General features: G+C 57.2%; 1 protein-coding gene and 1 pseudogene across 16 annotated transcripts in view, besides 3 other annotated features; both read right to left on the bottom strand.

Annotated features, from left to right (window-relative positions):
- Positions 1–15,402, bottom strand: part of PACS2 (phosphofurin acidic cluster sorting protein 2) — a 97,374-nt gene that overhangs the window by 16,829 nt on the left and 65,143 nt on the right. For 5 of the 16 annotated variants that reach the window (XM_017021112.3, XM_006720090.3, XM_006720091.3 and 2 more), the window contains exons 5-12: positions 13,944–14,106; positions 13,172–13,245; positions 12,780–12,860; positions 11,419–11,478; positions 4,394–4,551; positions 1,490–1,580; positions 1,165–1,239; positions 220–365 (exon numbers count right to left, since the gene is read on the bottom strand). In XM_017021112.3, coding sequence (XP_016876601.1) covers positions 220–365; positions 1,165–1,239; positions 1,490–1,580; positions 4,394–4,551; positions 11,419–11,478; positions 12,780–12,860; positions 13,172–13,245; positions 13,944–14,106 — 848 coding nt within the window. The remainder of the gene's footprint in view (positions 1–219; positions 366–1,164; positions 1,240–1,489; positions 1,581–4,393; positions 4,552–11,418; positions 11,479–12,779; positions 12,861–13,171; positions 13,246–13,943; positions 14,107–15,402) is intronic. The other 11 variants (XM_017021111.3, NM_001100913.3, XM_017021109.3 and 8 more) reach the window with 3 other exon arrangements.
- RPS20P33 (ribosomal protein S20 pseudogene 33) lies at positions 6,348–6,698 on the bottom strand (annotated as a pseudogene).
- Positions 10,148–10,217: an enhancer, noted in NCBI's record as "active region_9147". NCBI's record gives its function as "activates an Ori minimal core promoter by ATAC-STARR-seq in GM12878 lymphoblastoid cells {active_cell/tissue: GM12878}" and the evidence as "EXISTENCE:reporter gene assay evidence [ECO:0000049][PMID:35858748]".
- Positions 10,148–10,399: a biological region, named in NCBI's record as "ReSE screen-validated silencer GRCh37_chr14:105837257-105837460".
- Positions 10,196–10,399: a silencer, noted in NCBI's record as "fragment chr14:105837257-105837460 (GRCh37/hg19 assembly coordinates)". NCBI's record gives its function as "represses an EF-1alpha promoter that drives an FKBP-Casp9 reporter gene in an ReSE screen in HepG2 liver carcinoma cells {active_cell/tissue: HepG2}" and the evidence as "EXISTENCE:reporter gene assay evidence [ECO:0000049][PMID:32094911]".

The following is a 15,402-nucleotide window of genomic DNA, read 5'->3' as shown; positions in this document are numbered from 1 at the left end:
ACAGGTAGGGTGGAATCTGGGGCTGCAGGCTTGACACCCAATGCCGGGCCAGGGGGTTTGCTTCTCCTTTTTAAGAAGGACGAGGCCCTGAATCTGCTGTCTACACCCGAGGGAGCTCATCAGGATGGACTGACACGCACCCACCCCGACTGATGCCCGTGACGGCCCCTCCCCCGACAGGTGCATCACCGCCCCGCCCCGCCGTGCAGCCCCCATCACCTGGTGGAGGGGATGACAAGGGACTCTGTCTTGGTGATCCTCCCGCTGGGCGGCAGCCTCTCCGTGAACACATCCAGGGTGGAGGCCTCAGCCTCGGGGCTGTCCTCAGGCTGTCCAGGGTGCTCCCTCGGGCCTGGCACACCCTGCTGAGCAGAGACGGGCCTGGAGCCTCCCGTGGAAACCACACCCGTGCTGCGGCCTCTCCAGCCCTGTGGCCTCTGGCTCGGGTGAGGGTTTAGGCCTCTCTAGGCCGTGGCTCCTACATGTGGACCCGGCCATACGCTGACCAGGGAGCCTAGCTGAGCCAAATTCCAAGCACAGGGCTCCCATCCGGGCCATGCAGGGTGACCAGCCCCCAACCTCCCAGGACCTGACTTGCCCTGGGCCCAGGACCTCCTAACTGAGGAGACCCCATGCAACGCAGCAGGGGGGAACCAGGCGTTCCTGGGTGCCATCCACCTGAGGGTGGGGGGAGTCCGGGGGCCCTGACCCTGCGGGTGGGGTGAGTCCAGGCGCCCTGACCCTGAAGGTAGGGTGAGTCTGGGGAACCCAGACCCTGAGGGTGGGGTGAGTCCAGGGGCCCTGACCCTGAGGGTGGGGTGAGTCCAGCTGCCCTGACCCTGAGGGTGGGGGGAGTCCAGCTGCCCTGACCCTGAGGGTGGGGGGAGTCCAGGGCATCCGGACCCTGCGGGTGGGGGGAGTCCAGCTGCCCTGACCCTGAGGGTGGGGTGAGTCCAGGGCGCCCTGACCCTGAAGCTGGAGTGAATTTTGGGATACTCTGACCATCTGGCAGCCTGGCCACCCCTGAGGGCTGACCCCACCTCTGCACACCAGGTGTGACATGAGGACCTATATGTGGGCCCCGCCCCTCCAGGTCAGACCCTTAAAGGCAGCATTGGTGTGCCTGATGTGTGGAACGGGTGGGTGCGGCCCAAGCCTGCTTACGAGGGCCACCGTGTCAGAGACACTGTCGCTCGGCTGCCTGCCTCCCAGGGACCGCGTCTTCTCGGGCACGTCAGCCTGTGGGGGAGGAGATGGGAATCAGCTTGTGCTCAACTGCAGGTGCCAAGGCGCTGACTTCTGGACTGGGAATGCTGGGACTCAGGGAGGCCCGGGGTACCTGCGTGGCAGTGTGCTGGACAGTGGGTGCAGAGTGGCTCCAGGACAGCTGGACAGGGCCCTGGGCCCAGGACATGCTGGGAGATTTGGGCCACACCACAGCCCAGTCAGACCACGGTCTGCTCTGGGAGATCAGTGTGGCCCCACTCACCGGGCTTGGGGGCTCCTTGTGGCTGCGGGCGCTGTGGATGCTCCCAATCTCCGTCTGCGAGCTCGAGTGCGACAGGCCTTCAAAGTATGGCCTGGCTCAGGGAACAGGGGTGGGGGACACGTTAATTTCCAGGACCCTTCTTGCACTGAAAGCGCAGTTCTCCCACCACACCTGGAGGGACAGACTGCAGAATCCAACGGCAGAGCAGAGCTGGGTCCAGAGAAGAGCCCGTGTCAGCGCACACCCCGCTCGCACCAGCTGCAGCACAGGGCACAGAATGATTCTGGAGCTGGCAACACTAAGCGCTGGGCCAACCTGGCTGCCCCGTCCTGGTTCTTCCACCTGCCCTGACATCAGCTGCAGGAAACACACACCCCTGAAACTCGCAGCCTTAGCTCCAGGCAAGGCTGCCACAAACACGAAGGGGCTCTGGGGAGAGCTCCACTGGCCAATCCTGCTGGAGGGCAGCCCTGGGATCTGCAGCCAGCCTGCAGCAAACAGGTGAACATGCTCGACAAAACAACAAGGGCACATCAGATGAAGCAGGCCCTTCCGGACCCACCAGGCAGATCAGACCACCCAGGCCCATCCAGGTCCTTCCAAACCATCCAGGCCTATCCAGACTATCCAGGCCTTTCCGGACCACCCAGGCCTTTCCACACTATCCACACTGATGCAGGCCACCCATGCCTTTCCAGACCACTCAGGCAAATCCAGACCATCCAGGCCTTTCCAGACCACTCAGGCAGATCCAGGCCATCCATGCCTTTCCGGACCACCCAGGCCCTTCCCGACCATCCAGGCCTATCCAGACCATCCATGCCTTTCCGGACCACCCAGGCTGATCCAGGCTGATCCAGGCCACCCATGCCTTTCCGGACCACTCAGGCAGATCCAGGCCATCCATGCCTTTCCAGACCACCCAGGCTGATCCAGGCTGATCCAGGCCACCCATGCCTTTCCAGACAAACCAGACCCTTGCAGACCATCTGGCCGATCCAGGCCATCCAGGCCGAATGTCTCATCCCTGGTTGATATAATATGTACGAAGAAAAAGGAGGAAGGGAGACCTACAGATTCAATAAGACTTAAAAGACCTTTCAAGTGAAAAAAATTTGACAGGAGGCCAGGTGCACTGGCTCACACCTGTAGTGTCAGCACTTTGGGTGGCCAAGGCAGGTGGTTCGCTTGAGCTCAGTTCGAGACCAGCCTGGGAAACATAGGGAGACCCTGTCTCTACAAAAATATAAAAATTAGCTGGGTGTGGTGGCGCACGCCATTGGTCTCAGCTACTGAGGAGGCTGAGGTGGGAGAACCGCTTGGGCCCAGGTGGTTGAGGCTGCAGTGAGCCACGACTGCACAACTACACTCTAGCCTGGCTGACAGAGCAAGGCCTTATCTCAAGAAACAAACAACTCCCCCGCCCCCTAAAAAAACAGACGGGACTTAGCAGTGTCTGCTGCTCCACCCTGGGTGACAAACCCACGTGGAAACTTGCTGCTGTGTGTGCCCATTCAAGATCATAGCCCCGAGACGCACACGCCTCTCCTCAAACTATGAATGCTAGCTGGCCAGGGCTCTGCAGATACAGCCAACACCACGGAGTTTAAGATGGGAGAGGATCTGGGCCACAAAGATGTCTCCTATGGAATCACGTGAGCCGTTAAAGACAGAAAACTTTCTCCGGCTGAAGGCAGAAGAGATGAGGCAGGAAGGCCAGGGAGGCCCAAAGTGTGAGGGGGACTTCACTGGGCCTTGCTGGTTCCGAAGGTGGAGGAGGGACCCTGGGCCAGGGTACGAGGACGGTTGCCAGAAGGCAAGAATGACCAACGGCCACCAGGCGGCAGGGCAGCCAGACCCCCATCCCGCAGCCACACGGAGCTGAACTCCACCAACCACCACGCTGGGCCTGCACTGCATGACCTCGGAGCCCCAGTCAGGGCAGCCACCAATACCTCCACCCGAGCCCAGCGAGACCCTGGCCAAGAATGAGGCCACAGCCTCGGGATGGCAATCTCCAGAACAGGAGGAACAGAGGCTGTTTCTGGTGGCCACATCCGCGGTCACCTGTTATGGTGGCTGCTGGCAACTGAAGGAGCAGCAAGTTGGGCTGGGGCTGCCAGGCCGGGGCAGGTGAGGTGGGAGGCCGCTGCGTGGCTGCAGGGCTAACTGGGGCCGCGCCTCCAACATGCAGCAAGGCCACCTTCTTCGTGTTGTTTAGGTTAAAAAAGTGTGAGAGCAAAAGGTCTACCAAGCTTCCTGACTCTGACTGGGGCCTCTGGCTCCTCAGCAGCTGCCCAGAGGCTGGCACCTGCCTTCTGCCTGGTGTGCTTGCCTTCCTGCCCCCAGCTGACCGAGGCCTCCATACCCAGACCCATGCACAGAGCTGCCTGCCCTGCATCCTCTCCTCCTGCCCAGGCCAGGCCACCCCAGCCAGCCCCTCCTCCCATCCAGCCACAGAGACACCTGCCCTCCCCCTCCCCACCTGCCTCTGCCTCCTCCTCCTCAGGGAGGGGCACCCAGCATGGGAGCTCTACTCCCCACCTGAGTGAACGGAGGTCCCCTGCAGTTCCCAGGGCATCCCCCAGAGACGGATCCCCTACAACGGGGTGCCACACCCAGCCCAGCCAGCACCCTGGGGGACCCCTCTCGGTCCTCCCCAGCCCAGAGCTTGCACCCCCTGGCCTATGAAAGGAAAGCTGCCTGGCTCAGTGCAGCCGTAGCCTGGGCCTGCCAGGCAGCCGCACACCCCTCCTTCCAGCCACCAGAGCCTTCCCAGGCTTCGAGGCAGCTGGCCCTGCCCACCCCGTCTCCAGGGCTGGACATGGGTCTGCCAGAGTGGTCGCAGAGTGGCCGGGGCATCTGAAATGGCTGTTCCTCCCCGCCCCGCCCTGTAGGGCTCACCGCAGCTTCGGCTTGGGGGTGCTGAGGACGCTGTCGTCATCCTCCATGTCGGGGCCGCTGTCGCTGGGGTGCTCCATGTCCAGGGTGTCATACAGGAGGTCCAGGTCCTCCTCTGCCTCGGGGATGTGCTCCGCAGGGTCCTGCTCCGAGTCCAGGACCTGCACGGGTGCCAGGCACGCGTGAGTTCCCTGCAGCAGCCCACATTGCCCCACTGGGGGCGCCCGAGACCCCAGAGTCTGCAGGAGCAATAGGAGGCGGGCACCCAGCCACCAAACCCCTCCACTCAGCACGGCTGTAGTCCAGCTTCTGTCTTGGAGCTCGGGATGATCACCGAGGACCCCCGGTCCCCAGGTACCGGTGCGTGTGGCATTCCTCCACCTCCCCTGGGCTGGTGCAGTCATCTGGGCTGCCAGGGTGCACGGAGGGCCTGGGTGCAGGCAGGTGAGCTCTGACGGGTGTGGGCCACTGTGCAGCCACCACCAAAACCAAGACAGAAAGTGCTCCCCACACCCAGGAGGCTCCCCTTTGCCTTCCTCTAGTGCGTCCCCTCCCTCAGCCCCAGGCCCTGCGAATCTCACTCTGTTCCTGTACATTCTGCCCTTTCCCGAGTGCTACCCAAAAGGAATCATGTGGCCTGCAGCTCTCGGTGGCGGGGGGAGGAGGGCGTCATCCACCCAGCGTGGCACACTTCATGTTCCACTGTGTCCCCACCCAAGTCTCACCTTGAATTGTAATCCCCATAAGCCCCACGTGCCAAGGGCAGGACAAGTGGAGGTAACTGGATCCTGGGGGTGGTTTCCTCCACGCTGTTCTCATGATAATGAGCACATCTTAAGAGATCTGATGGTTTTATAAGCATCTTGTATTTCCCCTGCAGGCACCCACTCCGACCTGCTGCCCCATAAAGAAGGTGCCTGCTTCCCCTTCTGCCATGATTGGCAGCTTCCTGAGGCCTCCCCAGCCATGCTGAACTGTGAGTCAACTAAACCTCTTTCCTTTATTCACTTCCTCTGATGGTTCTGCAGTGCGCCACTGAGTGGGTGGACCCCAGTCTAACAGATCACCAGCTGACGGGCATTATGACCATCACAGATGAAGCTGCTGTGAACGTCTGAGTGGGTCCATGCATGTGTGTGTTCACCTCCCTGAAGTCAACACTGAAGAACAGGGGTGCTGGGTGTCTGGCAACTGCTTCCTGTGGCTGCCACACCACCTTACATTCCCCCAGCAGGGTGTGGGTTCCTGCTGTTACACCTCACCCTGTTGCATTTCATTTGTTCCAGCCATCCTAGTGGGGATCAAGTAGTGTCTCATTGTGGTTTGGTTTACATTTCCCTAATGACCAGTGATAATGATCATGATGATCGTGTACTTATTGGCTACTTGTGTGTCTTTGAAGAAATCTATTTAGAAAGATCCCTATTTTTTTTTTTTTTTTTTTTTTGAGATGGAGTCTCGCACTGTCTGTTGCCCAGGCTGGAGTGCAGTGGCACGATCTCGGCTCACTGCAAGCTCCGCCTCCCGGGTTCACGCCATTCTCCGGCCTCAGCCTCCTGAGTAGCTGGGACTACAGGCGCCCATCACCACGCCCGGCTACTTTTTGTATTTTTAGTAGAGATGGGGTTTCACCGTGTTAGCCAGGATGGTCTTGATCTCTTGACCTTGTAATCCACCCGCCTCGGCCTCCCAAAGTTCTGGGATTACAGGTGTGAGCGACCACACCCAGCCCCCTGCCCATTTTTTAATTGGACAATTCACTGTTCTTTGTCTTTGAGAAAGGGTCTTGCTTTGTTGCCCAGGGTAGAGCGCAGTGGCACAATCATAGTTCACTGCAGCCTCGACCTCCTGGGCTCAAGTGATCCTCCCACGTCAGCCCCCAAAGTGCTGGGATTACAGGTGTGAGCCACTGTGCCTGGTTCTGACAAGTGATAATCACTTTATTAAAACACTTGGCTTAAGCATCTGCAATGGTGATGTCAACCGCGGCTCGCAGCTCAATTCCAACAGAGCAATCAGCCTCACAATCCAGGATGGACCAGGCAGGTCCACGAGCTGCTTATGGATTCTCGTCTGGAAGTGATCCTGTGTCTGAGAACCTTCACCACAAGGTGTGTTTCTCTTAGTGATTCTCAAAGACTTGGCAGGCATCAGAACTGGTTCTTTCACTTTGAGATTGTTTTTCTCCGTGCCCCTCATAAGCCAGCACACACCTCCAGGGATTTTACATTGCAGCTGGTCAGGGTAATTCTAATTCAAGGAATCACTCCACGGGCTCCAGAGGTGTCCTCCCGGTGTCTTTAAAAGCCGTGGCCACGAGGCGGCTTCCTGGTCGACTTCTCAGTACAAGTGGACAGCAGCGAGTCAGGGCAGGAGTGGGCGGGCCCCAGCTCCGTGGCACCTGAGGCTGCATCGTTCTCAAAGCAATGGACAGTTCAGCTTTTAACTAGACTGTCTGTGTCTTTATTTTTCAGTTATAAGCATTCTTTATGTGTTCTGGATTCAAGCCCCTTATCACATATATGATTTGCAAAAAACATTCTTCTGTTCTACTGTTCGGTTTTCTTGATGGCACTATTTGGTGCACAAAACTGTAAAATGTTGCTGTGGTCCAGAAAAACTTACCTTTTGTTGCTTATGCTTTTGATGTCACATCTAAGAAACCCCTGCCTAACCCAAGGTCATAAGATTGGCCCATTTTCTTCTAAGAGCTTTATAATCTTAGCTCACAGATGGAGATATTTGATCCATTTCAAGTTTTTTTTTTTTTTTTTGAGACAGAGTCTCGCTGTGTCGCCCAGGCTGGAGTGCAATGATGCAATGTTGGCTCACTGCAACCTCTGCCTCCCAGGTTCAAGTGTTTCTTCCACTTCAGCCTCCCAGGTAGCAGGGACTACAGGCACCCGCCACGATGCCTGGCTAATTGTTTTTGTATTTTTAGTAGAGACGGGATTTCACTATGTTAGCCAGGCTGGTTTCGATCTCCTGACCTCAAGTGATCCGGGTCACTTGAGCCTCAAGCCTCGGCCACTAATCCCAAAGTGCTGGGATTACAGGCGTGAGCCACCGCACCCAGCTGATCCATTTAGTTAATTCTTGAATATGGTGTGAGGTAGGGGTCCAAATTCCTTTTTTTTTTTTGAGACAGGGTCTCACTCTGGTTGCCCAGGTGGAGTGCAATGGCATGATCTCAGCTCACTGCAGCTTCCACCTCCTGGGCTCAGGTGATTCTCCCACCTCAGCCTTCCGAGTAGCTGGGATTACAGGTGCATACCACCATGCCCGGCCAATTTTTTGTATTTTTAGTAGAGATGCGATTTCACTATGTGGACTTATGCAATCTGCCTGCCTCAGCCTCCCAGAGTGCTGGGGTTACAGGCATGTGCCACCACAGCTGGCTGTAATTCCTTCTTTTGCATGTGGATATCCAGTGGTCCTAGCACCTTTGTTGAAGACTATTCTTCCCCCATGGATATCTTGACATCTTTGTTGACCATCACTTGCCCATAAATGGAAGGGTTCACTTCTGGACTATCACCTCCATTCCACTGATCTCCATGCCTGTCCCTGGGCCAGCCCCACATGGTCAGGATTACTACTGTGGTTTTGTAGTACATTTTGAAATTGGGAAGTATAAGTCTTCTTTCTTCAAGACTGTTCTGTCTGCCCTGAGTCTCTGGCATTTACACATAAATTTTAGCTGGTCAATTTCTACAAAAACACAGCTGGGAATCTGATACGCACTTGAATTTGTTGAATTTGTACATCAATTTAGGGATTATTGCCACCTTAACAAGACTAAGTTTTCCAATTCATGAACATATGACATCTTTCCACTTATTTATATCTTCTTTCTTTAAAAAATGTTTCATAGTTTCACTGTATGAGTCTTACTCATTTTAAAAATCAGGTTGCTTTTCTTATTGGGTTTTGAAAGTTTTTAATATATCTATTGGATACAAATCTTTACCAGGTATGTTATTTGCAAATATTTTCTGTCAACCTGTGGCTTTTTTCTTTTTTTTTTGAGACGGAGTCTCGCTCTGTCACCCAGGCTGGAGTGCAGTGGCCCCATCTTGGCTTACTGCAAGCTCTGCCTCCTGGTTTCACATCATTCTCCTGCCTCTGCCTCCCAAGTAGCTGGGACTACAGTCGCCTGCCACCACGCCCAGCTAATTTTTTTGTATTTTTAGTAGAGATGGGGTTTCACCATGTTAGCCAGGATGGTCTCGATCTCCTGACCTCGTACTGCCTCGGCCTCCCAAAGTGCTGGGATTACAGGCGTGAGCCACCGCACCTGGCCATCTTTTCATTCTTTTAACAGTACCTTTCAGAAAGCAAATTTCTACTTTTTTTATTGTGTTAAAAATATATAAAACATAATATTTACCATTTTATCTATTTTTAGGTGTACAGTTCAGTGGCATTAGTGCAGGATTTAAGTTCATATTTTTTAAGGCTTAGAATCTAGGTAATTTAAATTTTAGGCTTTTACATTTAGGAATATGATCCAGTCAAGCTGAATTCTGCACATGGTGTGCATTGTCAAGCCTCAGTTTTTTTGCGAAAAGATATTTTCTCCAATGAACTTGGCACCCTTGTTGAAAATCAACTGACTATCCAGGTGTGCCACCTTTTACAATGAAAAATTCAGAAGGCAGCCCTCAGCGGACGCTTTCGCTGTGAGCTGAAGCTGAGGGCTGTAAGGAACAGACTTCACTCTGGTTCCTCCTCACAGGATGGGTCCCAAGCAGAGCCCTGCTCTCCTCCTCACCAGACCCACTGTGTGGCACCTGGGCACAGGGCAGCCTGGATGCCAGTGCTCTGTGGTCAGCCTGGGGGCTGTGAACGTTTGTACCCCCAAAATTCCTACACTGAAACCTGACCACCAAGGTGCTAGAATTAGGAAGTGGGGCCTCTAACAGGTGGTTAGGGCCCGAGAGCTCTGCCCGCTGAATAGGCTCAGGGCCCTGATGAGGGAGGCTTGAGGGAGCTTGTCAGGCCCTCTCACCACACAACACACAGAAGGTGCCCTCTATGGGAAACGGGCCCTCAAGACACCGAGTCTACTGGCACCTTGATCTTGGACTCACAGCCTCCGGAACTGCGAGAAATACACTTTGGTTGTTTATTAATTTCCCAGTCTAAAGTATTTTGTTATAGCAGCATGAACAATCTCAGATGGCTGTAATCCAGGCGGTGACCTCGTCTCACTGTGCATCTCCTGCCCCCTGAGGGTTGCTGTGAAGTCCTGGGCAGGGGGCAGTGCCAGGTGTGGCACTCCTAGTGGCCAAGACACAGGTTCAGAGCTGTGGCGGAGATGGTCTGGTCTTTTCAGGAAAGGGAGTGATGGGTGGAAAATACGGAAAGAGATCCCATCACTCCATTAAAGTACTGTGTTGACCTGCATGAATTTCACACAACGCTGTGCAATTATCCCTATGAAAACGATGTCCTCTCCCTGAACAGCGTCTGTGACGTTGGCCCATCTTTTCACAGTTTGGGTTGTGAGTCTCAGAACCATAATCTGTGTAAGTGAAATGCATTCTGGGACTCAGTTCAGTTGCCCAGGTGAGTGCAGAACCCCACGGTCAAGATTCAACCAAGAACACCCACCCCTGAACCCACAGGCGCTCAGCAGGGCTCAAGGAAGCCCCAGGCCAGGGAGCCGACTTGGCTAAGTCCCATCTTCAGCTGCACTTGGGAATGTTCCAATCCAAGATGCAAACCAAAAGACACAGGGGCCCGATGACCATCCCAGTGGCGGAGCTGCCCTTCCTCTGCGGCCAGTTGGTGATGTTACGCTGTTCCCAGAAATGCTGCCTGCCCCACCGGGCCACAAAGCACCTGTTTCGGCACATGGACCTGACAGCCTCGCTGAGTGTGTGCCCCAGGGGCTGAGCTGGATGCATCCCGAGTATGTTAGGACACAGCGCCATCTACAGGCAGTGTGCTCTCAGGCCGACGGGTGACAACCCTGCTTCAAGGCTGAGACGCTTAAACGCCACCTCTCCACTTCAGGTCCTGAACCCAGGCACGTTTTTCTTCTGACGTTAAAGAAACAACAAAGGCTGGGCGCGGTGGCTCACGCCTGTAATCCCACCACTTTGGGAGGCAGAGGCAGGCAGATCACTTGAGGCCAGGAGTTCAAGACCAGCCTGGCCAACAGGGTGAAACCCTGTTGAACCTGGGAGGCAGAGGTTGCAGTGAGCCGAGATTTGAAGTTTTTTCTTTTGAGACAGGGTCTCGCTCTGTTGCCCAGGCTGAAGTGCAGTGGCTCAATCTCCACTCACTGCAGCCTTGGCCTACTAGGTTTCCTCCCAAGTAGCTGGGACTACAGGTGCACACCACCACCCACAGCTAATTTTTGTATTTTATTGTAGAGATGGGGTTTCACTATGTTGCCCAGGCTGGTCTCAAACTCCTGGGCCCAAGTGATCTGCCTGCCTTGGCCTCCCAAAGTGCTGGGATTACAGGCATGAGCCACTGAGCCCAGCCATGTTTTTCTTTTCGGTATGAAAATTATACAAGCTCATTGTAGAAAATTCAGAGATTAGAGAAAAGCTAAAAGATGAACATTAAAAATCCATGGAATGTCAGTAGTGGGGGGCTGTCAGGTGGGGAGGGGGGGCCCATGTCAATAGTGGGGGGCTGTCAGGTGGGGAGGGGTCCATGGGAACTCTGAACTTTCTGCTCAATTTTGCTGTAAACCTAAAACTGCTCTAAAAACTAAAGTCTATTTATAAAAAAAAAAACACACAAACTAATGGTTACATCCCCCTGAAAATGACTTTCCGACTTCCAGGGTATTCACGACTTCTACTTCAGCAGAGACCCAGCGGGTGACCTGGAGCCCGGGAGGCAGTGCCACTGTCACTGCGCCTCGCAGACTGTGCGATGCTGGCGGGGCCGTGCAGACGGTGAGCGGCAGAACCAGAGGTGGCCCGGAGACAGACCCCAGAGGCCTCCTCCCGACCAGGTGCTGTTGCAGGCGTGGGGGCCGCGAGCAGAAGGCGCGGCGCACTCACCTCGTCGGACACTTTGAACCTCCGCAGCAGCGCTACCACTTTCTGCTTGAAGTTCTGTTGCTGCAAGACAGGCGGTGCAGAGTCAGAGCCGCCGCCAGAGCTGCAGACCCGCCGCTGGAGCCCCTTCCTCAGGCCCAGGCCGCACCCAGGCCCGCCGTGGGAGAGCAGCAAGGCCTCAGCACCAGCCACGCTGATGGATTCGCTCGTGGCTCCCAGAGGCTTCCCAACAGGCCTGAGGTCTGACAGTTCCATTCCTGGCCAAGGGGGACCCGGGGAGGCGTGTGCGGACTCCATGGTTCTTCCAGAAGCCTCTGCAGCCCTTCCCAGGCTCACGGGGCCCTTCCCTCAGCACCCCCTCCCAGGAAAGGCCCTGGCCGACCCCAGAAGGAAGGTGCTGGGCACCCACGTGGGGTGGGCAGGTGGGCGAGTGTGGGGTGGGGCGTGCTCCAAGAGCCTGAGCCCCGTGGGTGCCTCGTGCCACCCTGGACTGCAGAACCTCGGCTCCAGCCACTGGGTGAGCGGGACCCTCAGCCACCCTCTCGGGGACCAACCCTACAAAGGCAGCCCACGCCCTCCCTTCACAACAGTTGGGCCCAAGGGGGCCCTGGAATGGAGGCTCAAGCTGGTGTTCTGCACAGCGGGGGCTGCTCTCCAGGCCAGCAAGACACAGCTTCACCACTTTGGGAGCAGCTTGCCCGTCCCTGGCACCGTCTGCCCACAGCGCCCCCTTGAATGCTGCCAGAGGAGGCGGCGGTGTCCGGGCTGGGCTGTGCCCATGTCCCTTGTCAGCACCAGGCACAGAGCTCCCCGCCCACCTGCGCTGGCCTCCCTGGAACCGTGCCTGTCCTTGGGGTGTCCAGGCGCCAGGCGGTGGACCCTCTGTGCCAGTGCCGGACACGGCCTCTGAGGAAAGAGCTGCCTGAGCTTTCCTCAGGGAAAAAATGCTGAACAGCCCTGCCAAGCTCCTGGGGACCGTGGAGGTAGGTAGGCCAGATCCCAAACAAAAATGGGGGAACCAGCCCACTCAGGTGTATGTGGGCACCTGACGGGACAAAAGGGAGGATGGCCTCCCGGAGTTTCTGCACATGGAGTGAGCCTGGCAGCGAGGCAGCCTCCCAGCCTTGCTCAGGGCCCACTGAGCCTAGCGGCCACACAAGGCTAAAGCCAGGAGATGTGGCGAGGCAGGGGAGACAGTGGCACCCGGCAGGAGACTGGCAATCAGGGGGTCTGCCACGGGACATGCTGCTGTGACCTGGGGTGAGATCTCACTTCCCACGCCCGTGTCCCCCCCACGCCCAGGCTCCCAGCGTCCTCCCCGACCCTCGCCTTCCCCAGCATTCATAGAAGCAGTCTCCACCAACCCTGGTCATGGACGTCGTTCTTACAATCGATCTCCGCTGCTTCTTCGGCTTCCCCACGTCAAAGTCGTCCTCGTCCAAGTCCTGCAGAGACATATGCAGTGGCTGAGGCCACGGCAGCCTGCATAGTGCTGGCAGGACCCTGCCAGCCTCAGCGTGGGCGATGGGAGAGGCCCGGCACTGAGAGCCCACCTGTGTCCCAAGACTCTCAGAGCCACCTGAGCATAAACTCGGGCCCCTGGGGTCGGGAGACGAGAGATGGGCGGCCAACCAGGGGCCAGGCCCGTGGCTCACCCACCCTCACGAGGCCCTGGTGACAGCTGGTGAGGACCCCACAGACCCCAGGACACCCGGTGTGAGCCAGGAGAGGGCGCGGAGCCCCGGCCCCAGGTCACCTGCCCCTGCACGGCGTCGTCACTGGCCTCCTGCTCGGAGGAGAAGCTCTCATACTCCTCCTCGGAGTAGTTATCTGCGGAATGAACAGACAGAAGGGAGGGTGCCGTGAGATTCCACCCGGGAAACCAGGCAGTGACCACCCCCAGGCTTCCCTGGACACAGAGTGGGGGCAGCGAGGAGGTGGATCCATGCAGGACAGAGGGGCTCCAGACACAGGTGCCGTGGCCCCGAGCCCCCGAGTCCCCCAAGTCCACTGGCAACGGTCCAGGTCGGGGTTGGCAGGAAGTGGGGAGGGGCAGGGAGGGCAAAGGGGGCCACATGAACTGCTCCGGCCTCCACGGCCCCTCCTGCCAGCTGGCATTTCAGCCTGGATTTGCACCGACTGGGTCTCCCCCGCCTGAGGAGTAGGGGAGGCCCTGGTGACCCCACTGGGGTGGCGGCAGCTGTGGCACCTGCCCATGGCGGGCCCTGCACCCAGACCAGCAAGGGCATCACAGTGCGACCCCACACCTCCTTTTTGAGGACACTCAGGACTCAGGCCTCTTGACCAAGGAGCTGCAGCCACGGGGGCAGAACAGGGACCTGTGGCAGCCCGGACCCTACAACAGCGCGCACCTCTGCTGTGGCTTCCAGACAGGAGAGCAACTGACACGTGCTCCGGACCCCCAACTCCTTAAGCCAGGCTGGACAGTTTCTGCCACCCGATGTGCCATGGCTGGAAGGCAGGGCCTCCCCACAGCAGGGGCAGGAGCGGGCTGGCACCACACTCACCCGTGGACTTGGCCTTGGGGCCGGCCTGCATGGTGCTGTCTTCGTGGTCAATGGGCTGGCTGGACAGGGAGGCGATCCAGATCTCGGCCGCCTTGACGGGGGCCTCCTTGATGCTGCTGCAGAGGCTCAGCACCTGGCCACCTTCAGACGGGTGTTGCATCACCTGCAGGCCAGGGGCACGGTTCTAGAAAGCAGCACGACGGGAAGGAGCCCCGGTGCCCTGATGTGTGGGCTGGGGTTTCTGAAGGGCTTTCTCTCTCAGTGACAGCAAGGGGGACCCTCAGCAGGGCAGCCACAGGGCAGGGAGCATCCAGTGGACAGGAAACGTGGCCACTGGGGAGAGGGGACAGATACGAGAGGAGGACACAGGAGCCAGGCGGACAGACGAGAGGAACACGTGGGAGCTTTCACGAACGGGCCATAAGCAGAGGGCACTGGGCTGTGCTGGAGAGGCCAGTGCCAGGCACAGTCACGAGGGACTGAGATGGACAGACAGGGGTGTCCGCGGCCCTCCTGATCTCAGGCACGACTGCTGTCCATGCAGTGCCACCCAGGAAGATCCTGGCCCCCTGCTCCAACCCTGCCTCCACCCTCCACCCACCCAAGAGCTCAGCAGCAGCAAAGCAGTGTGTGAAGCCGGCTGCCCAACCCACAGGAGCCAATGCCCAGGGACCAGTGTCTGTGGGGGACCAAGGAGGAGCCCAGCACTCTCAGCCAGGCCGGAATCTCCAGCAGCAGGAGACACCCACCAGGCCTGGCTCACAGGCCAGGTCCAGCTCCTCTGTTGTGAGGCACTCAAACCACGGAGCTGCAGAACAAGCCCCGGCCCCTCCTGCAGCCACGACCTGTACCCAGGCACAGCCCCGCCGTGCCCCACGCCAGCCTCAGAACCACACGCCATGACGACAACTCTCAGACACTCACAGCCTTGGGGCCAGCTGTGCTCTAGAAGCCGCCTTTTGGGGCTATCGGTTCACATCCAGATGTTAGGATTTTATAGACCAGATTTATTTATTTATTACTTTTTTGAGACGGAGTCTCATTCTGTGGCCCAGGCTGGTGTGCAATGGTGCGATCTTGGCTCACTGCAACCTCCGCCTCCTGGGTTCAAGTGATTCTCCTGCCTCAGCTTCCCAAGTACCTGGGATTACAGGCATCTGCCAGCACGCCCAGCTAAGTTTTGTATTTTTAGTAGAAACAGTTTCACCATGTTGGCCAGGATGGTCTCAAACTCCTGACCTCAAATGATCTGCCTGCCTCGGCCTCCCAAAGTGCTGGGATTACAGGCGTGAGCCACCACGCCCAGCCGACCAGATTTATTTTGATTGTGGGGTCCTGATTTGGGCTGCTAATTCTTCAATTAATCAAGGTAAAAAAATGTTTAAAAGTTTACATTTGCCCTCATCTTCATTTCAGAAAATGACGAAGGGCAGCTGGCAGCTTCTGCCAACACTCGCAC

The sequence above is a fragment of the Homo sapiens genome, chromosome 14, assembly GCF_000001405.40.
Source record: "Homo sapiens chromosome 14, GRCh38.p14 Primary Assembly".
NCBI lineage: Eukaryota > Metazoa > Chordata > Mammalia > Primates > Hominidae > Homo > Homo sapiens.
The sequence above is the reverse complement of the archived record's forward strand: the minus strand, read 5'-3'. Positions and strand labels throughout refer to the sequence as shown.